At 37.3% G+C, this 23,568-nt stretch overlaps 1 protein-coding gene across 4 annotated transcripts in view, besides 1 other annotated feature; it reads left to right on the forward strand.

Moving 5' to 3' along the window:
• ZFAND3 (zinc finger AN1-type containing 3) overlaps positions 1-23,568 on the forward strand; it is a 334,898-nt gene that overhangs the window by 186,177 nt on the left and 125,153 nt on the right. Inside the window, exon 1 of one of the 4 annotated variants that reach the window (XM_017011171.3) lies at positions 775-11,356. The exons of the other annotated variants lie outside the window; for them this stretch is intronic. Within the exon in view, the coding sequence (XP_016866660.1) occupies positions 11,293-11,356 (64 nt within the window). The 5' untranslated portion in view covers positions 775-11,292. Of the gene's footprint in view, positions 1-774; positions 11,357-23,568 lie in introns of those variants that run through there. 4 annotated transcript variants of the gene reach the window in all.
• Positions 6,690-6,984: a silencer, noted in NCBI's record as "tiled region #1536; K562 Repressive non-DNase unmatched - State 12:CtcfO". NCBI's record gives its function as "represses a minimal TATA promoter and a strong SV40 promoter by Sharpr-MPRA in K562 cells {active_cell/tissue: K562}" and the evidence as "EXISTENCE:reporter gene assay evidence [ECO:0000049][PMID:27701403]".

Below are 23,568 nucleotides of genomic sequence, written 5' to 3' on the forward strand. Positions count from 1 at the left end.
TGAGCCAATAATTCTGGTCCTTCTCTTTTAAAAGTTCTTAGTTAGGTAACCACAGATAATTGAACCAGAGAAGTCGTCTCATGGTGTGCTAAGTAAACACAGATGAAGATAGAGCCAGCTGACTTCAGCAACTCTTCTCTGCATGGTGTGTCTCTGAGACTTACATTGAAGATGTATAATATGGGTTACTTTTACTTCAGTTTCTTGTAGTTACAGCTTCTGCATGTATCATGCCCCAGAAAAAGGTAATCATCTTCCCATTATGACATGCAGTATACAATTTATAGTCTTTTTTGTGGGGAAGGAGTTGGGGAAGAAAGTGAGTTTAATGGACCTGAGGTAATGTTTAATAACAGGATATGTAAGTTAAATTGACCAGCTGTTGTATGTCTCTGTGTTTGCTGTGATAGAATTTGGGATAGTGAGAAATTTCACACTAATTTTATTCACACTAAACAATTCTAATTGTTTCTTTTTTATAAAAAAATGTGAAATTTGCCTAATTAAGAGGCTGTCCTTTTTAAATTAAATATAAATTTGGTGTTCTTCTGGAACTCTGCTGTTTCGAGTGCTTTTTGTCCTCATTCAGTATTATTAATGCAAGACAACCTGCTTGCATGCAGCTAAGCATGGCTTCTTTCTCTTATGTATAACACAGAGTGGGCAGGGTGTACAAAACTCATCTACATCCTTCTCAGAAAACTTCTGTGTAACACTGCCATGTGCTAAGCCTACGGAGGTGAGGAAGAGGGTTTTTTTTTTTTTTTTTTTTTTAATTGATGGTTTTGGCTCAAGCTTTGGAGGGACGAAGAAATGGTGTGGATTCTGTGAAATCACAGGATGTCTAAGTTCCAAGGGCTTTAGGAATTGCCTCATATCGTGCGTCTAAATATTGCACCCCTGCCCCTCTTCCAGTCCAGACTCATCCGAGAGGATCAGCACAATTCCATTAGTAAATGAAGTCACAACTTGGGGATTGATGGGGATAATTAATAAAAAGGGCCACAAGTGGTTCCAAGTGCTCCTGCAGTCATACACACACATACTCTGTTTAGCATCCCGAGTTCTCAGAGAAGGAAGAGGTGTGGAGAAGTTATTTGAATTTGTTAGTTCTCAGATTTTTTTATCAGGGTAAGCAGTTTTTAAAAATTAAAGAGTGAAGAGAAAGTGATGGACATACACTTGCCAACTTTTATTCATTTGGACATTTAAAAGGAAAATCATCACCATAGAGTTATAAATAAATTATAACAAATGTAACAATATAGCATATATTTAGCTTTATGAAAAACTGATATTGTCCTTCTCATTTAACTATAAAAATTTCATCACTGGCTGGATGCTTGGTGGCTCATGCCTGTAATCCTAACACTTTGGGAGGCTGAGGATTACATGCCTGTAATCCTAGCACTTTGGGAGGCCAAGGCAGGAGGATCGCTTGAGCTCAGGAGTTCAGGACCAGTAAAACTCCATCTCTACAAAAAATACAAAAATTTGTCCGGCATGATGGTATATTCCTGTAATCCTAGCTCTTGGGAGGCTGAGGTGGGAGGATCACTTGAGCCTAGGAGGTCGAGGCCACAGTGAGCTATGATTGTGCCACTGCACTCCAGTCTGGGTGACAGAGTGAGACCCTGTTTCAATTTAAAAAAAAAGATCACTTAGTTCGTTGTGTAGGATTTAGGAATTGCTAATCAAGTAGTTATAATTAACTTGAAGAATAATTTAACAGTATACATTTTAAATTTAAAACTATGGTATTAGCCTATATCAGCTCTAAGTGAATTCTTGCCTGATGCAAGATGTGATTCCTGCACAGCCACAGAGGGGTATTTTTAATTAATTTAGGCTCAATAAACTAAAGAAGCTTTTGGAAAATTTGAACACAACTGAGAAAGCAACCCACATCAGTTTCCGTAGGTACTCACAAAGCTGGGTGGTGGTGTACATTGGTTATATTATTTACAAATACAATTTTTGGGAGACTGTGGAAGGGATAACTTGAAATCTTGAAGAATGATTTAGGGCCTTGTTACCCAAAGTCTGATCCAGGGACTAGCTACATTAATAGCACTTGGGAGCTGCTGGAAATACAGGCCTCACCCCAGACCTGCTGGATCAGAACCTGCATTTTAACAAGATCCCCAGGTGATTCACATGCATAGCAGGTTTAAGATACTGATTTAGAGTACCTTTCTGAAAACAAGGGTTTCAGTTAGGTAACTTTCACATAGCCTTTGCCTTATCTAATTAACAAGTGTTCCAAAACCAGGATTATTAGAATAAATAGGTTGTTGAGAATAGCAATTAAGACTAGCCTTAAAAAAAGGTAGTATAGAAAGGCCTTGAGACCTGCATTAATGATAATATAGCTTATAATTAGCTTATCAATTAAATATGCATGGCTGTATCTAAAGGGCTTGAAAACTGTTTTTAAGGTTTTTCTTTTCTATCTTGATTTTATATTTAGGAAAACCCAGGTAAACTCACAAATAGAGGAACATTTTTTTAAGCAGGAAAATATGTAACAATTTTTGGGCCAAATGCTTAAGAAGTGAGAATTTTGAAATGGAAACAAAAGTTGGAATCTGTCTTAGAAGTAATCTACTCCACCCCTTCTCTCCCAGCAGTTTGAGTGCTCTATTTAAAGCTAGAATTTTGAGCATGAGAACGCCACTGTGGACAACAGAGAGATTTTCTCTCTCTCTCACCTCTTCTCTTTCTCTCCTTCTATCTCCCCCTCCACCACCATCTCTCTCATCTTCTTCCCTTTGTCCCCACCCCATTGCTTTTTTCTTTCTGCTTTTCCTGTTCCCTATCCTTACGCAGGATTGTTTTACTGTTAGCCAGGTTAAGTTTAAGCTTCTTGAGGACTTTAGTACTGAAAGACAATGGCTCACTTGTAAGACCTAGTTGAAGAGTACAGATTTAGATTTGTTCAGTGTGCTGTGATCTGTAAAAAAAAAAAATCACAATGGGATTTCTACTAATGGATATGTAAATATATAATCATTCCTTTTATGCTTACATCCAGGGTTTAATTAATCCTTTGGTAATTAAGAATCCCTTCAAAGTTTGCTTGTGAGCATGTTGTTCCGACCAGCTATTAGCTCCTATACTAAAATTGGTTGCCTTGCAGACCTGTGTTATCAGTAATAAGCACCTCAAAAGTCACTCAGGAGGAAAACCGAATGGAAGACCTGAGCAGAGGGAATCTTCATTGTATACCTTTTTGTGTCTTTTGAATTGAGCCCTTTGAGTATATTAACTAATCAAATAAATAGTTAAATAAAATTTAAAGAGAAAACTTTCTAAACTTTTTCACTATGAGTGTGTGATCTCTGATGCCAGGTACTGTTTTGTGGAAGGGGAGAAAATACTAGGTTTCGGTAGCATCTTAACAAGTGATAAATGCTTTTGGCTTTATTTCTCACTGACATCTTGTACTTCTGGTGGTGTATTTCTTCTTTCTACTGACCAGCAAGTAAGTTCCAAAATACTGCTGAATATCAGGTTAGAAGAGAGCCAGTGTTTATTTCCCACCCTGCAGTCTTCAGTGTAAATATCTGAAAATGGTTATATTGGGAGAGACAAAAAGATCTTCCAAATCTCTCTTATACATCTGTTAGTCTACAAGAGCTTGCCAAAACTGTATTCTGAACTTTTACAGGATCCTGCTATAACCCAGCATACGTAGCCACCATCCAGATTTTGTTTTAAAAGTAGGTGTGGTTTAATTTATATTGAAGGAGGTTTCCCAGGAAGTTCCTGGGCCAGATTAGGTCTCCTCCTTCATCTTAAACTCCAATAGAAATACAGAAACCTCTCTGCTTTGATCTGAATATGTTTTAAGAGACAATGTTATGACTGGTGGTTACCGTTGCATTTTAAGTTATAAACAGTATGTAGCCACTTGCCAGAATTAACAAATAGGTTAGAGTTACATTACATTCTTTTGAATCTGAAATTGATATTTTATCACTTGTTTTGGCCTTTTTGCTGAAATGAGAATTTGTGGACGGTGGGGGCGCAAGAGAAAAAAATGTTGGTTCCATGTCTGTCAGGTAACTGGCAGAGTTAAATTCCTATGGCATATTTCTGGTCGCAAAAACATCACTAAATGTCTAAATAAAGACCAAAACACTTCTAACATTGAATATTGACATAAATGTGAACTGTACATATATTTAAGACAGAAACTAAGCACAAGATAATATTTACCCAGTTATTCCAGCTCAGGGTGCCAGGTGAGAACCAGCCCTGGACAGGGCACCATCCCATTGCAGGGCGCACTCACAGTCACTCATTCTGGAACCGTTTAGACTCATCAATGAACCTAGCATGCATAGCTTTGGGATGTGGGAAGAGTACGCAGAAAAAAAACAGGTGTGCATGGGGAGAAGGTGTGAACCATATAGACAGTGGCCTCAGTTGGGAGTTGATTTTTTTCCCCCCTTACCATCCTTCTAATGAAATGATGTTGAAGGAAACAGTGTTATTTGAGGAGCCATTGTACAGGACTTTAACTGGGATTTTGAAAGTTTATATCTAACACTGTCATTTTGATTAGATTAATTCAGGTTTGGTGATATGTTGCTTGCTTTTGTCTTCAGCTGTTAAGTCTTTTCATGCCCTGGTCTATGACAAACATGGACCTGTTTTCTGTCACTATCATTTTGCTTTTACGCCCCCAACCTTTTTTTTTTTTTTTTCCGAGACAGGATCTTGCTCTGTCACCCAGGCTGGAGTGCAATGGCGCAATCTCAGCTCACTGCAACCTCCGCCTCACGGGTTCAAGCAATTCTCTTGCCTCAGCCTCCCGAGTAGCTGGGATTACAGGCGCCTGCCACCATGCCTGGCTAATTTTTTGTATTTTTAGTAGAGATGGGGTTTCACCATGTTGGCCAGGTTGGTCTCAAACTCCTGACCTCAGGTGATCCGCTCACCTCGGCCTCCCAAAGTGCTGGGATTACAGGTTTGAGCCACTGCGCCCGGCCCAACTTTTTTTTTTTTTTTTTTTTAAAGAGATGAGGACTCACTGTGTTGCACAGCCTGGTCTTGAACTCTTGGGCCCAAGTGATCCTCGCACCTCAGCGTCTCAAGTAGCTGGCACTTACAGGTGCATGCCAATGACTGGCTCATTTTGCTTTTTCTAAAAATTCATATTAATGGATGTATACAGTTGTGTCTGGCTTGTTTCAATTCGCATAATACGTTTGGGACTCATTCATGTTGTTTTCATGTAGTTTGTTCCTTTTCATTGCTTTCCATTGCATAAATTTACCACAGTTTGTTGAGCTGATGGATATTTGGGTTATTTCCAGTATTGGAGTATTTTAAGTTTCTGTAGACCTTTGAGTACAGGTCTTTGTATGAATGTATGCTTTTATTTTCTTGCATAAATACACACAGTAGAATTTTGGGGTTGTATGATAAAGTACAGCAGCTGTATGCTTAACTTTATAAGAAACTGCCAAACTGTTTTCCAGAGTGGCCGTACTGTTTTACAAATTCCCATCAGTAGTACATGAGCGTTCCAGTTGCTCCATATCCTTGCCAACACCTGGTGTTGTCAGTCTTTAAAAAATTTTGGTCATTCCACTGAGTGTGGAATGTAGTTTTAATTTGTATTTTTAATTTTAATTTGTAGTTTTAATTTTCATTTCCTTTTGGTTTGTGGATTTGTACTTTGTGGCATTTATGCTAAAAGTACCAAGGAGGAAGAAAGTTGTTTTTTTCTTCAGATTGTTATCATCTTGGTTTGTAACTTGTATGTTCTCAGAACATTATTTGATTCTCCACAATCAGTAGCACAATTAATTTTATATTAATTGGTTTTGTAGTTGTCCAGAACTCTATTACACTTAAAACGTGATCAAATACTATAAATTATTATATCATTTATGATCACACCTGATCAATTAAGAGGATTCGGGGAAGGTAAAACTTCATGTAAATCTTTGGAAAATGGTTTTAACCTGTTTCTCAGCTAATTAAAGAATACGTAGCTATATTTCTTGTCATTCTTTTTTTGGAAACTATAATATGAAAGTTCAAAATATAAAAAAGATACTTAAAATTAGACATTTGATAGTTGGGATATGTTATAGTACTTTGAAACAAATTCTGTAATAGTATTCAGAATTGAGATGTTTAGCACACACTGCGTCAGTTATGTTAAATGGTGGGGATGGGGTGTGGCAGGCAGTAGTGGAATGTAGAATGCTGCTGTATGCTGTGTAATGTAAGCATCTCCGTTCCTAGTGGAGAAGTTGCGTCGTGTTCTCAAGAAGCACAGAGGGAGACATTTGGTAAAGTACCAAGTAGTTGAATGAAATACAGTACATAGCAGATAAATTTTGTATATACTAACAAATCAGTAGCTATATTTGATATCCTGGGTAGCCGTATTTGATATCCAAACTATTAACACTTCATTACCCTGAAGAGCTTCCTCCTTTCTTTTTGATAGTATTTTTTTTTTTTTTTTTTTGAGTCGGAGTCGTGCACTGTCACCCAGGCTGGAGTGCAGTGGCGCGATCTTGGCTCACTGCAACCTCCGCCTCCCGGGTTCAAGGGATTCTTCTGCCTCAGCTTCCCGAGTAGCTGGGACTACAGGTGCGTGCCACCACGCCTGGCTAATTTTTGTGTTTTTAGTAGAGACTGGGCTTCACCATATTGGTCAGGCTGATCTTGAACTCCTGACCTCGTGATCCAGCCGCCTCGGCCTTCCAAAGTGCTGCAATTACAGGTGTGAGCCACCATGCCTGGCTGATAGTAATTTTTAATCTTTATGTGATGAGGTGTGCAGGTCCAGAAATCGTAACATGAATGGCAGTTAAAGGCCTTTGAGAAAGTAGGGGAGGGTGATGGATGCATCAGCCTCGGCCACCCTCTAGTGGCTGCTCTGACCATATTGCAACTTCAGTTGATCCTCTTAAGTGTACATCAGGAGGGGGAATGGCTGAGGGGCTTGTTGTTTTTTATACAAAATTCTTTTTTGTATTATAAAACATCTGGAGTAATCTAGAGGAATAACTTCAGTAAGGAGTTACCTTAAATATCAACATTGGTTATTTGGGTACTAGGATTATGGATGATTTTATTTTCATAATTATACTTGAGTGTATTTTCTAAATTTTACGTAGTCAACTTTTTGTTCTAAGTCAGAGAAACAGAAAGGAAGACTCACTGATCACCTCTGTGTGCCAGACACTGTTATATATATCATTCCTAATTCCTAATACACGAATTTGAGTTACATTGATTAGTATATACAAAATTTATGTCCTGTATTTTCAACTTCACTTGGGGCTTTAATGGAACACTATCATTCGCTAACATTTTTGTGGCACAGACTTCTTGCTGATGTTGTTTACCAGAGTGTCCTTTGATTCTACTTCAGTCTTGCCTAGTAAAGTCATCTTTCTCCCTTAATGAATATCTCACCTTCTTTCGGGACCACTCACCAGTCTGTGAACCTTCAAAACAAATACATTCCATGTTCTTATTCATGTTGACATATGTTTGATATAGTACATACTGCCGTCTGTTGTAGTTATTTGTGTGTATTGCCTATTTCCTAGCTTTGCATCCTACAGCCCCAGAACAACACATAGAAAGCACACAGTATTTGCCTAAAACCATATATTGGAAGCTTCTACCTGCCTCAGTTTGTGATGTAATGGTATTTGACTTATTTTAATCAGTTGCTTGGCATTGTAGCACATTTTCCTAGAACCAGTATTTCAAATGGTGTGTAGGTGCCTAAGCCCTGAAATACTGGTTTTAAAACTTAGCCACACATTTAAAAACTGGAGAGTTAAAAAAAAAACAAAAAAAACCTCCAATGTCCAGGTTACACCTCATACACGTGGAATCAAAGTATTTGGAATGGAAGCCAGGTATCAGTATTTTTAAAAAAGACACCCCATGTTATTTGGATGTTCAGCAAAAGTTAATGAACCACTACCCTATTTAATCTATACTGCATGGGTACTAAAGTTAAACTCCTGACATTTAAAGTTTTGCTTTTGGGGAAAATACTTTTCTCAAGCCAGATGCAAGAGGTTTTGATGGCATAAGACCTACAGATAACTAACAGGCTTATTTAAGCCCAGGTATTTATTGTTAAAGGAGGTATTTGTCCAACTTACTCTCAAATAGTTCCCAAAAAATGTTTGCAAGGGGAGAGAGAGAGAATGAGAATGGTAAAGCAAATGGGGGCAAAATGTAAACGGTTGCTGAATTCTATAAAGGCTGTATGGGATTGACTAATATTAGTCGTGCAACTTTTTTGTAAGTTTGTAAAACTTTTTAAAAGTTTTGTTAAAAAGAGAGAGAGAATTTGTTAACACAGATAAATCACTAATTGGTGAAATAGTAGAGATTTTTGTTTGTAATTTTACTTTATTATTATTATTATTATTTTTTTTTTTTTGAGATGGAGTTTCACTCTTGTCGCCTAGGCTGGAGTGCCGTGGCGCGATCTTGGCTCACTGCAACCTCCACCTCCCTGGTTTAAGCGATTCTCCCGCCTCAGCCTCCCGAGTAGCTGGGATTACAGGCACCTGCCACCATGCCCAGCTAATTTTTGTATTTTTAGTAGAGACGGGGTTTTGTCATATGAGTCAGGCTGGTCTTGAACTCCTGACCTCAGGTGATCTACCCGCCTCAGCCTCCCAAAGTGCTGGGATTACAGGCGTGAGCCACCATGGCCAGCCCTAGATTTTTGTTTTTAATTTTTAAAAATATTGGAGTGCACAGAGTATATCTGGCTTCAATCATCTCTTTTCATTCATGTTGCTGTTTGACTGAAATCCTCTTTCTCCTGGCGGATGGGATTGGCGGGTGGTCCTATTTTCTAAAGGGAGGAGGCATTTCCTATTTAATCTTGAGGATACAGGGAAGATGGTATAGAGTTAAGCATCAACCCACTTCTCTGTCTCTTCTTTTTGCCTCTTCTTTCTGCTTCATTGGCACAAAATACTGTTTCCATTAAGATGCTTAAAAGTGATGCAGGTGCAGTTCTGCAAATTTAGAAAATAATCATTCGTTGGAAGATACGTTAGATCGTTTAATTTTAACCTCCTGCTTTTTACCAATATGATGACTAAACCAAGACTGGTAGATGTAACCTTATACTTTATTTAAGGTCTACAAGGAGGAGGAGTATATATTTTACTGTTTCTCTTGTTATCTAGAATTTAACATGGGATATTTACCTTTAGGGAAATCTTTTATATTATAACTCTGCCCTGGATGCTTAGTTAGTTAACTGTGCTTTTGTAGTTTCTTTAAGGATTGTGGCTAGTAATTATGAAAATATACTAAATCTCATTACTAATCAGAGAAATGCAAATTAAAACAAAAATGAGGTAATTTCACACCATTTTATTGGCAAAAATTAAAATGTCTGGCACTGCCAAATGTTAATGAGGATGTGTGGGCTCTGCTATTGGTGGGTGTAAGAATTGAATACTGCCTTCATGAACAGTTTGGCAATATTTGATAAAGGAGGCATTCCTTTTGGCCTGACATTTCTAAGTCTGTATTCTGGAAATGCTTGTTCAAAGGAGTCAGGTACAAGAGTATTCATCATAGCAGTGTTTATGTTAATGGAAAACTTAGAAACAAGCCAACTCTCCAGCAGCAAGTGAATAGATTAATTGTGGTTTGTTCATACCCTAGAACACTATGCAGCTATTAGCAAGGAATACATCTCAAAAACATGGTTGAATTAAAAAACAAGTTTCTGAATGATGTGTATGTATGACACCATTATATAAAGTTGGGCAACTTGCAAAATCTTGTGTTTGTGGATACTTATTTGTAGAAATAGTATTAAAACATGCATTGGAATGCAAACCCTGAACCAAATTTAGGATAGCAGTTACTTCTAGGAAACAGAGAAGGGTATAGGATTTGAGGAGTACACACAGATTTTCAACTTGACCTGTGGTGTTTTCTTTCTTATTAAAACTCTGAAGCAAATATAGTGAAATGTTAAGATTAGACAAAGCTAGCTAGTGGGTGCAGTTGTTGTGTTATTCTCTGTAACTTTCTGTATATTTATAAAATACATGATTAGATACATTGAGGGTAGTATGTTTATAATGGGCCATACATTCAGTCACCAGTGGTAACATAGAACAGCAGACTGTGTCTTGCAGATGAGACCTAAGACAGTAGTTCCTTAGACAGTAGTTCAGAACTTAGGTTTTGGAGTCAAATATACCTGGATTAAATTACAGCTTATCCACTTGTTAGCCATCTGACTTTGGGCTTTAGTGTGCACATCTATGAAGTAACAATCAAACTTACCTCTTAGAGGTGGGTTGTGAGATTTTAAAAAAGTATGCTTCAAGTAATACCCACTCAATATATGATAGCTTCATTTAGCCTTTAACCACCTAGATTAAATAATTCTTGTTTCAAAGAACCATACTTCAGAGAACCATGGGACGATATGTTACAAATACAATATCGCTTCTTTTCTGTATGACTGGCATAATTAAAAGTTTCTAAAAGGCAAGTCCATGCCAGAACTTAAGAGAACACACTGGAGTTATATTCTGTACTGAGTTCCACCTACAAACTTAATTATGAAAGATGGTTGAGGTTAACTTTGTTATTGTGCTTTCCTCCTGGATAAGCTTGCTTTTTAAAAGGAAAAAGCTCCTTTAAAAATAGGTTCAGTTAAACTTACAATTTTGCAGCAACCTCAAATCCTCACTCTTAATGGATTTGTCCAGTGAAAATGGTAAACAAGAACACATACATGGTATGTAAAGGTAGATATAGGTACAACAAATGAAAGTATATTTTCCTGGACTGGAAAAATTCCTTTTTGCAAAGGTTATGTTTTTGTTGATCCTTTTCTTGATTTTCAGTGCAGAATTACTGTTAATATATTTTAATTGACCTTTGAGAGCTGTCTTAGGGATCTCTAGAAATATTATTAAATATATTCATAAGCCAGGCTCAGATATTCATAATCCATAGCGAGGAAAACTCTTCCTTACTATGTGTCAGAAAGAGAAGAAGGTAGATGACCTCTCTCCCCCAAATGTCTTGAACTTCCCTTTTCTAACCTGGCATTGCTTGCTTGCCTTCTGACCAAATTCATCACATTGGGAAGTGGAAGTATACATTGCTATCTGATGAGATTTCATTTTAAAAGTTCTCCCCAGTGAAAGCATTATAGGCACTTCAGAGTTGTGGGTGTTTGGCAGGTGTCTACAGCCAAGGAGAGTGAGGGAAAAGTGTTTCAAGCCCAGCTGTGTGGTAGAAATGGAGCATCTTCATCCAGCATCTCCCAGTGAATTGATCATGTGTGGAAACACCAGTCCAAAAGGTAACTCACAGCTTATGGAGGGACCAGAAGCTTTGGAATAAAGCACAGGAGAAGGAACCCATGTGAGGAAGTTGGGCAGGAGCTGTTTGGCGTTACAGTTAGAAGCATTGCCTTTCCATTCCACGATGACTTCAACTGGTATTTGAAGCTAGTTATTAGTGTGCCCAGTGAGCCATGCATTTCTGAGGTATCTCAGTGTTTTTAAAATAAAGTCTGAAATCTTGATCTGCTTAGTTCCACCAAACCCTGTTCAAATTTTCTGAAGGCACTTTAGCAGAGCTTGTCTTTTCATTTTGTGAATACTAAACTGTAAACAATGTTCTTAAAGCGGTAAAGGGAATATACATTTTTAGAATTTCTATATTTGATACTTGAAAAGTTGGGATAGAGGAGAGACCTGGTGTTTGTGTCTCACTGGAGAGGGAAACTCCTGCTCCCATTAAAAAAAAAAAGAATCATATATTTCTAGATGTATATTTCAGTCTTCCGGGAAACTCCCTTTACAGTTTACCTTCCTAGGCAATGATACAGACCTGTTTGTTTTATGGAAATGAGTGTTAACTATATTTTCTCAAACTACAGAAAATAATATTCATGTTATTCGTGTCAGCATTCTTGATCTCTGGTTTTGGGTATTGTCCCCTCCCCCAAGTCTTATCTCATTCTCAAAAGTATGCCTTTTCCTAGGTTCCCAGAAAACTACTTATAATTTGCCCTTCCCTCCTTTTTGCGGACTTTGAGGATCAGCTCCCTTTTGCAGTTGTTGGTGGACTAAAATGACATTATACTATCACAGTTGAGGTGCCAGTTATCTTAATATAATATGAGTTTAGCATGTTTATATGTGGCTTTTGGAATAAGATGGGTCAGGTAATATCACCTGTAACCTGACTCCTATTTTTATAAAATGGTCATTAGCCTCATCATCCATAATCTTTATTATAAAAGGGGCCCACTGATACTACACATTCCTTTAGTATCTTCTCATATTAATAAATGAAGAACATTTTAGTTAGGTTTGCATTTTGAAATGAAATACAAAGAACCTAAAACTATTGTTTTGTAATATATCACAAGTGATTACAATAAAGCCATTATCAGGTAACGTTTTCCTCTTTACATTCTATTTTCAAAACATATAACGTTTTATTTTTTTAAACATAAAAACATACTAAGTTTTTGAAGGGGAAGTACACACATTCCACAGAATTTTTAAAAGGTATAAGGGTATACGCTAAATCTCCCACCTGCTCCTGATCCCCATCCACACATTTATACTCATTTTGTTTTTCATATTTACACCTCTGCTGTGCCCTTTTCTTTCTACTCAGAATTTCTTGGAGGTCATTTCGTATCGGTACCAATGCTCATTCTTTTATTGTGGCTGTATAGTTTTACATTATACTGCCATTTATTAAACCAGTTCTCTGTTTTGGAGTATTTAGATTACCCCCTCCTAGGCTTTTACTAAAACAACTCTCCAGTTATTATTTGTGTATGTAGGGTACTTTGTACATGCAAGATTATATCTGTAAGATCAACTCTTTGATGTAGAATTGATGGGTCAAAGTGTATGTGCACTTTTCATTTTGATATTGCCAAATTGCCCTCTGTAGAGGTTGAAATAATTTACACTCCCACTGGCAGTGTTTGAGAGTCCATTCTCCTGGCAGCAGAGAAGAAACTTTTTATTTTTGCCAATCTGATAGACTTTTTTTTTTGGGACAGAGTGTCACTCTGTCACTCAGGCTGAAGTGCAGTGGCGCCATCTGGGCTCACTGCAACCTCCACCTCCTGGGTTCAAGCAATTCTGTCTCAGCCTCCCAAGTAGCTGAGATTACAGGCATCTGCCACTACGCCCAGCTGATGTTTGTATTTTTAGTAGATACAGGGTTTCACCATCTTGGTCAGGCTGGTCTTGAACTCCTGACCTCGTGATCCACCCACCTCGGCCTCCCAAAGTGCTGGGATTACAGGCATGAGGCACCACACCCGGCCTGATAGATTTGTTAAAATGATATCTTATTTTGCTTTAGTTTGTATATGTTGAGGTTGAACATTTTTAATACACTTAAAGAGTAATTCAGATTTCTGTGAATTTTGTGTTCATGCTCTTTGTCCATTTTTTCTATTAGACTTTGGGTCTTTTTTATTTGTGGGAGCCCTTTTCACATTAAGAAAATGAGTCCTTTTCTATACTGTGTGTTGCAAATATTTTCTCCAACAATTTGTCATTTGATCATGTATGGCATATGTTGAAATACAGAAAGTTTTTATTTTTACGTAGTCAAATATATTAGTCTTTACTTTTATGGCTTCTGGGGTTTTTTTGGGTCATTCTGAAGGTTGTCCCTTAGAAAAATTTATGTTTTCTTTAAATGCTTCTTCGGTTTGCTTTTTATAGTTAACTAGGCTTATGTTTTTGATGAAAGACATCTTAAACATTAATATCAAAACACCATTTTGTGTTTGTTTTTTGAGATGGAGTCTCACTCTGTTGCCCAGGCTGTAGTACAGTGTGGCACGATCTCGGCTCACTGCAACCTCTGCCTCCTGGGTTCAAGTCATTTTCCTGCCTCGGCCTCCCAAGTAGCTGGGATTACCGGCACATGCCACCACACCCAGCTAATTTTTGTATTTTTAGTAGAGACGGTTTCAGTATGGTGGCCAGGCTGGTCTCAAACTCCTGGCCTCAAGTTATCTGCCCGCCTTCGTCTTCCAAAGTGCTGGGATTACAGGCGTGAGCCACCACACCCAGCCTCAAAACACTATTTTGGCCTTCTCATAATGCCTTTGCTGTTTAACTGCAGGATGGGCCTGCATGGCATAGACTGTAGATCCAGGCACATGGGCAAATCATAGCTTTGTTACCTAACTGCTGTGTGAGATAGACAGATTAATGTATCTAACTTTGTTTTCTCATATGTAAAATGAGAATAATTATACCTGCCTCCAGAGTAGTTACGAGAATTGGAAGATAATGTATATATTAATTATATTCTTAAAGCACAGTGTTATAATTTATAATCCAACACACATTAGTTTTCTTCCTTCATCTGACTTAAACATCATAGTGATCGGAAAGATAATTAAAAATTTTTTTTTAAGTAGAATCACTTGGTGGTTAAAAAAAAAAACATGTTTCAAATTATCTCAAAAAAATACTGTGCTTTAGTAATACTTTTGTATTAACAAACAAGTCTCCAACATAACTCTATCCCTCTATTTATTGCATTATTTATAAATAAATGGTAGCATTTGCTTTCCAAAGAGGAGACAACTGCTGGCTTTTGTGTTAAAGCAAGACAACTATGTAATGGCATGTGGATAAAAAATATTTTTAAAATTCTTCCTCCTTAAAGGGAAGTTTAGGAAAATACATCTCCTTATTTTGCCTCTCTCCCCATTACACAGCCTGATATTGTCCAGATTGCTGTGGATCTTCTCACCAAATGAGTTTTGTATCTCTAAGTTAATTTTCTGCCAGAATCACTTCAGGCTGATGACCGTGGTGTTTGTGTATCCATTAAGCACACTGCCAGGATATGTCCACTACTTTCCACCTCTCGTATTAAACAGCTGTCAGCAGGTTTACATAGCTACTCTCTTGCTCTGCATTAAGTGTAGGGAGCCAAAGGATGCTATGTAAAATGGTCTATAAAGGAGTTACATAGAGCTGGCTTAGAAATCACAGAAGATAAATTCTGTCATCAGCTGGGTCAAATTTATTAGTGTTTTATACTTATATGAACAGAAAATATATGAAAGGAAATACATTTTAAAAATTCTGTTTCTTGGTTAACCTTTTCCTTTCTTCATTTAACAACCTCCAACTAGTAAAATTCAACAATTCAGAAAAAGCACATATTGGAGGAGTCTTGGGTAAGAAGCTCTCATTAAAGTTGTATATAGCACCCTGCTGAGCTTTACAATTGGTTTTGAAATGAAAATCTGTTAGATTAGAGCAAACATTATCCCAGCTGCCGCGATAAGTAATGTGGAGAAGATTAATGATTTGTCTATGAAAGCCAGTGAGCATTAAAGTCTGCTACTGTGCCCTTTTTAAAAGGTGCAGGTGAGAGAAGAGGTAGGAAAGAAGGGAGGACTATGCTATTCATAGCTACATGTTTATCTTCTTCATATGAGTTAGTGATTCCCTAGCTTTTTTTTCCCTTGATAAAACCAAGGAAGCTTTAAATTTCAATGATACCCCCAGGACTAGAATTTTTCATTGACTAGGGAAAGTAAGGTGGAACCGGAGGAAAAAAACACTGCTCTTATGTAACATTGAAGGTTCTCCCTTCTTCCAATCAGCAACGAAATTTTCTTCCTCTTTTCATGGAATTAATTGCAGTACCATAATCTGTCTTCTTGTGGTAAATGTCTGAAGATATATGGGTGAAAATTAGTGATGGTAGAGTTAATACTTTTCCTCTTCACCCATTGCATGCATCATTGAAGGTAAAATAGAGCAGGGCTGCTGTTATATAACCTTAGATTTCCTGGCTTGGTAGGGCTGTCCAAGACAATTCCTGCTTTCCCCATTCAGCAAGTGCCCCTGTTTTCTGAGACCTTCAGTGTGAGGCAGGGAGAGTGGCACCAGCACCACTGTGTGAAAATAGTGCCCTGACAGAGAAAGAATGGCTTAGATGAGTATTTAGGAGACCATCAATACTTAAATATAGGTTTATATATCATAGCAGACTTACAGTTTTATTAGCACAAACCTAATCTTGTGATTTGGAAATCAAGTCTGGTATTGGAACCAAAGTTGATTTTTATTGTTGTCTTTTTGAATTTTGGTATCCTGTAAACTCTTGCCATTCAAAATGTGCTCCTTATCACCTGAGAGCTTGTAAGAAATGCAGAATCTCAGGTCCTGCCCCATGCATTCCAAATACTAAATCAGAATCTGTATTTTAACAAGACTACAAGTTATTTGAATGCACATTAAAATTTGAGAAGCTCCGATATAAACCATGGCCTGCTTTTCTAAAATCAGCATCTATTATACTTTTCCTCTTTTCCAAAGTAGGCAAGAAGGCTTTAAAAATAAAAAAGGAAAGAAAATGCTTTTTGTTTCACCAACAGGAAGCCTGATCATGATTTTAATGTCATAGCAGTGCCATGTTTTTTGATGCTGTTTGTGCATCTTCCTGGAGACACTGTTTTAAAATGCAGCTATTTCTTCTTAATCCTTGCAACAGAAATAAGTCAGCTCTTTGCTGGTCTTTTAATAACAACAGCCACCATTTATTAAGAGTTTGCTGTGTACCACACGCTATACAAAGTTTATACAGTGCTCTAATCCTTAAAATACCGTCCTCTTCCCACTCCATTTTTCAAATGAGGAAATAGGCCCAAATAATTTTAATGTGACTTGCTTAGGTCATGTAGCTCCTAAGTATTAATGGGGTACAGACTTGATTTTGTTTGAGTCTAAAGACTTTAACCTTGCTTTTCTATCCCTTTACCATTTGGTCAGAATTTATCTAAGAGCAGATAGGTAAATTGTGTAATTTCTACTAACTTGTAATATGTACTTAACTTTAGGATTACCATTATTTTGATCCTGCAGGGCACAGCACAACTTGATTGGAACAGCCTTGGGCTGGAGTAAGGACTCTTAGTATAGTTCAGCCACTAGCTGTCTTGATGACTGTTTTGTTTTCTTTCCTTTTTCTCTTGTAAAGGCAAGGAACGGGTATGTGTGTTGGGAGTGGTTAGCTTTAAGGACAAAGAATGCATATTCTTTGAAAATAAGTAAAATCAAAGTTGCTACTAGAATGTACTATTCTTTGTGAATTCATCAATTTGTAAAAATTACTGGGAGAAAAAGCGTTTGGTAATACCTTTCAATACACTCTAACCATGAATCTATAAGGCTACAAGGAGCTTTCAGAAGAAAGCTAGCCAGACACTGAATCAAGGAGGGTTTTATCCTTCCGATAGGTTTTTATTCACAAAACCTCTCTAGAGAAGGAGCTATGCATGTGTGTGTAATATGTATTTTAAGGTAGACATTACCCCTTTTCATTGAAGACAGTTGATGTGATTGAAGTATTATTCCCAACAGCTTAGCATGAGACATTTAATAACATTTTAAGACATTTCAATAACAACATGGAAGTTTTATATTTTAAAAAGATTTGAGAGATCAAAAAATGATAAGTATATGAAGTAATGCATATGTTAATTAGCTTGATTTAGCCATTCCACAATGTGTATATATTTTGAAACAACATGTTGTGTATGACTATGTAATTTTTATTGGTCAACTTAAATAAGATTTGAAAGTTTTAGAATCTAGAATGTCCTGCCTCTAAGCTACCTGTAATCTGACTTTTTGGCATAGGCAAGGAAGAAACTTTTCATTTTGGCATGAGGAAAATATTCAAATGTAAGAGCAGTTTCATACACCTATAGACAAATGTCTTTTACTTGTCTGGAAAAATCCAGAACAATTCAAGAAGAAGAAATAGCTTTTACAAAAAAGTGATGTATAATAATTTAAGTGGTATTTCCGCTTCCTTACTCAGTTTAGTCTCTGATACGTCCTATCACTGTCTAAATTACTCCATTATTAGGGGAAAAGGCCAATTTTTAAAAGCAGGTTGGGTGCAGTGGTATGTGTATGTAGTCCCAGCTACTCGGGAGGCTGAGGCAGGAGGCTTGGTTGAGCCCAGGAGGTCAAAGCTGTAGGGCACTAAGATTGAGCCTGTGAATAACCACTGCACACCAACCTGAACAAAACAGTGAGATACCGTCTCTTTAAATCAAACAAACGAGACGAAACCAGGTTACTACTATTGACCAACTGTAGAAATCACTGGGTTCAGTATTCCTTTCTTTAAAAATGTATGATTCAACCCAGCAGTTCCAATACTAGTTATTGAAAATTCAAAACAGGTGTATAAAAAAGTACATATATGGCCAGGTGTGGGGGCTCACGTCTGTAATCCCAGTACTTTGGGAGGCCGAGGCGGGCAGATCATGAGGTCAGGAGATCAAGACCATCCTGGCTAACATGGTGAAACTGTCTCTACTAAAAAATACAAAGAATTAGCCAGGCTTAGTGGCTGGGTGCCTATAGTCCCAGCTACTTGGGAGGCCGAGGCAGGAGAATGGCATGAACCCGGGAGGTGGAGCTTGCAGTGAGCTGAGATGTGCCACTGCACTCCAGGCTGGGCGACAGAGCGAGACTCCGTCTCAAAAAAAAAAAAAAAAAGTACCTAAACGTGCATGTTTGTTGCAGCACTATTCACAATAGCCAGTAGGTGGCAGGCAGCAGCCTATTTCTTCCATTGGATGAATGATTAAATAAATGGTGGTATATCCATACAGTGGAATATTACTCTGCCATGAAAAGGTATGAAGTACAGATGATACATGCTACAACATGGACAAACCTCAAAAACATTTATGTCAAGTAAAAGAAACCAGACACAAGAGGTCACATATTATATGATTCTATTTGTATGAAATATGCAGAATAGGTAAGTCTGTAGAGGTAGACTCAGATTGGTGGTTACCAGGGGCAATAGGAGAGGGAATGGGGAGCAATTGCTTAATGAGTATGGGGATTCCTTTTGGGTTGATGAAAATGTTTTGGAACTAGAGAGAGGCAATGGTCAAACAAAGTTGTAAATGCACTAAATGCCACTGAGTTATTCACTTTAAAATGGTTTATTTTATGTTCTGTGAATTTCACTAAAGTAGAAAATACATATGTATTGTTCATTATTTCTCCTTTGGTTAAATCCTTTAATATATCTGGTATCCATTCACATGTCACATGATCATTCTGAGAGCTACTCTTCTCAGATTTCACATGTCTAGTAGATGTTAATATTGGATCCATTCATTACATTCCTTTGTTTTAGAAATATGTTTCCATTTTCTGACTCAGGGCTTAAGCTGCTGTAAAAATGGCAACATTAAAAATTCATTTTTCCTATAGGAATTCACAAGTCACATACTCTTATTAAGGGACATTACTCAGGAGAGACAAAGGTCTTTTTTTAGTCACATCAATACTTTTTCATAATTACTGGTGGTACTTTCACCTCTTAATTAGAAGTGGTGGTTTGTTTTTATCCCCCCTTTTTTAGGAGGCACAATATCCAAGTAATTTAAGTGGTATTTAAATGGTATGGAAGAAAAGATAATTTCTCTGAATTTTTATTTTTTTGAAACTTGTATTAACATCAGAGTCATTACTACAAAAAGTATACATGAAGATATTGAATCTTGTGAACTCCTTTTTTTTTGGTCTGTTTTGTTCTTAGTGAAATAGTTATGCTGAATTAGTGGTATTTATTACTATAAAACATTAGCCTTTAAACAGAAGACTAGTTTGGCAAATAGCTTGCTTACTCATCTTTTGGCCAGTCTCATTCATCCATACAGGGAATATTATTCAGAGATATAAAAGAATGAAGCACTGATACATGCCACAACATAGATGAATTTTGAAAACTTTCATGCTGTGTAAAAGGAGCCAGTCATGAAAGACTGTATGTTGTATGATTTCACTTATATGAAATGTCCAAAATAGGCAGATCTACAGGGACAGAAAGTAGATTGTTTTGCTTAGAGCTGCCGGTGGGAGTTGTCTGGAAAGTCGGAAGGGAATGAGTGGTCCTTGCTAAAGGGTACAGGGTTTCTTTCTGGGGTGATGAAAACAATCTAAAATTGGTTGTGATGCTTGCACAACTCTGTGAATATACTCTGCCTAAAACTATTGAACTATTGAATTGTACACCTTAGGTGAGTTTTATAATATGTAAATTGTATCTCAATAAAGCTGTTACAAAAATAACCTATTACTTAAAATATAAATTATTGACAAATTCTTTATCAGATCCATTTCTAAACCAAGTTCTTCAGCAAACCTCTTAATGTCTCTGTCCCCTAAATACACTTACATCCAGTTTATACTGGATCATTTTTATACTTGATATATTGTTTTATGACTTTTCTTCATAAATCCTGTTTCTCTAGTCCCAAGGTCCAGAACTACTCCTTCTTTTGCCGTCTGTTTTAGCACTGTGATCAGGAAAACACTAACTATATAAGGTCTCAGAGGATGATTACTTAGCCTTGACATTCTACATTACATTATGGATTCTGCTAGCATTTATTATTTGTATTACTTTAGGATTTTTTTTTTTTTTTTTTTTTTTTTTGAGACAAGAGTCTCACTCTGTCACCCAGGCTGGAGTGAAGTGGCAGGATTTCAGCTCACTGCAACCTCTGCCTCCAGGTTCAAGTGATTCTCGTGCCTCAGCCTCCCAAGTAGCTGGGTCTACAGGTGTGCACCCCCATGCCCCACTAATTTTTTGTATTTTTAGTGGAGATGGGGCTTCACCATGTTGCCCAGGCTGATCCTGAACTTCTGAGCTCAGGCAGTCCGCCCACCTTGGCCTCCCAAAGTGCTAGGATTACAGGCGTGAGCTACCACGCCCGGCCAATCCAATTTTAGGATCTTATGTGGTAGATATTATGGCTCTTTGCATTTTAATAACCAGAGAGAGAGAGAGAGAGAGAGAGTGTAATTTAATACTAGGTATCTCCCTCAAGGTTTGGGACACTATTTGGGAAGCAAATTTAGTTTTATTTCCTGCCTGCACATTAGCTAATTTACTCTTTACAGATGAAATTCCAGGTCTAAGTTTTTGAATCAATTAGTGTTTACTAAGTAAGGAATAGATTTACTGACTTTTTTTGGTGGGGGGAGGGCGGAACTAAGTAAATTCCTATTCCGTTCCCTAAATATTTTCCCCAGTCCACGAAGAGAGGTCTTCAAGAGCCTACAGGGCTCTAAGGACACAGGTTCTAGTGATGGATAGTGAACAGTTAGCTCCAAGTGAAATGATGTTGTCTTGGGGTTACAAACATGTTTGTCTCTCAAAATGAGGAATAGTTACGAGAGTAGATGATAGTGATTTTCTTGCGTGACATCCTACCTCTTGCTTTTTAAAATATTTCTCCCAAATATGAATTTGGCAAGTGCCTTTTAAATGCCTTATTGTCAACAAATAGTCTCATTCAGTACATGTTCAGAAACCGCATGGTGGATTTATGGAATCTTTAAGGTCCTTCTCAAAAGAACCAAAGAGCTTTGACTAGCCTATCGAGATAACCTTTTTTCTAAGGTTACCTTTTCCTTTTGTAGGTATATTTTAGTCTACAACTTGCCTTTCTAAAGGCATCTTTTTTATAATAGAGCATTTGTAATAGAATATATTGTTTAGCTGCCTTGGAATTAAGTCTATAAAATATCAATGAATGTACTAAGGCTTGAAAAACCCAGTGGTATATGTGTGTAACTTATCTAGCTTTCAGAAGCTCAGAGAGAGTAGCAAGGAATCAAAGCAAAATTTTGAAGAAAAACTGTTCTTCATGGCTGGCTGCCTCGGTAGGTATAAAATATTAATATTTGTGCAAAAGGCGGATGCTCTCAGCAGAGGCTTTGAAACCAATCTGGATGTCTTAGGCAGATGGGAGGTATGGTTGGGTAAGTGGAAGACTGACTCAGCAGAATGTCTCAGGGAGCCTGCAACTACAGTTTGGGTAGGAACACAACTAATTTCATTTGAGCACAAGTGCTCCTGAAGCTCATGACTGCCCTGCTATGGAGCCTTTCTTTTGTTTCTCTGTAATTTGTGCAGGGACTGAGAAGACATTGCTTTTTCTGAGGCTGGGCTTAAAGGTGGTTAGCCGGCATTCCCCAGGGCATTGTTTGCTCTTGTCAAGTTGTCTGCTCTGTTTAAGAGAGCACATTTGCTACAAGAATATTTGGAATTTGTCTTCAGTTTCTTATATCATGGATGGTTCATAAGTCTCCCTTCAGCCAGTATCCTAGAATGACAATCAGTTCCAAGAACAGGCTAAAGCACTTCCTTCCTTTTCTCTGTTCTGTAGTTTGTGCCTCATATTGAAATTTAGTTTTAAGAGTACTCATGTTATGTGGCATACTTGTACAAGACAGTGATGTATATGAGTTAGAAAACAAGTCTCTAGCTTGCATTGTTAATTTTGAGTAGGGTTTATAGGACCTATATGTTAGTGTAGTAGATATATTATTAAGAGAATTTTAGATACACATTACACCAAATTTTCTGTGTTGTATTACAGTTTTTAGAAATACTCTATTCCCCTCACATTATCTTTTTTTTTTTAAGTGTCTTATCACAACCTTGGTAAATTACAAATTTGAATGTATAGTGGTCTATATTCCATGCTTGCTTGTATTTATTGTCTAGTCAAGATGTCCTTGTTTTGAATTAATTTTCTCAGGCAACTGCTGATCTGCTTGATTAGATCCAGGGGTAGTGTCCCATTGCGACTAAAGTCTGCCTGACCTAGGGTACTATTGTAGTAAAGAATCCACTTAACTCTCCTTTGCAGTGTAGCAACAAAATAAGCTCAAAATTAATGTGCCAGTGAGTAAATTCCAAGTTGTAGCTCTTTACCTTGGCTTGAAGTGATTCTGTGGGGTCTTGGTGTGGCTTCTGGTTATCATGGATACATTTCCTGTATTCTATGTAGAATTCTATTACAGAGTATAGCTAGGTGACTTGGCTTTTTCCTTTCTTTGTGAAGCAAGGCATGGTGCAGAATAGTCCATTCCAAATCAAGCTCTATTTTTTGCTTGTAAGAAATTGTTTTAATGACTTCTGATTAAATGTGTTTTCAGTGAGGTTGACCTTGTCTCTCATTACAGAATCATGTCTTTCTCGACTGTCTTGATTGAACTTTACATAATAACCGGTGGAAGAAAAATAAGTTAGTAGAACCCAAATATTCAGTCTTGGGCATGCACAGCTATTTTAGTTTTATCTGAACTCTCTTACCTTGATAAAATGAAAGTTTGTAGAAAAGCCATTTAAAAGTCCATCAAGCTTCTTTACTCATCTTATTTAAATAGTACAGCTTATAAAACACTTTTGAAATGTCTCCATCAGGCCATATCTACAAACGAGTACGGGTGGGTGGCCCTTCTTTCTGACTGCTGATCTCAGGGTAACCAGAATAAATTGATTATACAAATTTTCAGCCTTTGGATTTCAGGAAGAATAGCTATTCTGATTTTCGTTTTATGTTTTGACTTTATTTCTACTAAATCAGTTTCTGTATTACTAAATACCAGCAAGCAAAGCATTTTTTAAAAGTTGGGTAATGAAATGTCTTCCTTGTGATTTCTTTTC

This window comes from Homo sapiens, chromosome 6 (genome assembly GCF_000001405.40).
Source record: "Homo sapiens chromosome 6, GRCh38.p14 Primary Assembly".
Taxonomy (NCBI): Eukaryota; Metazoa; Chordata; class Mammalia; order Primates; family Hominidae; genus Homo; species Homo sapiens.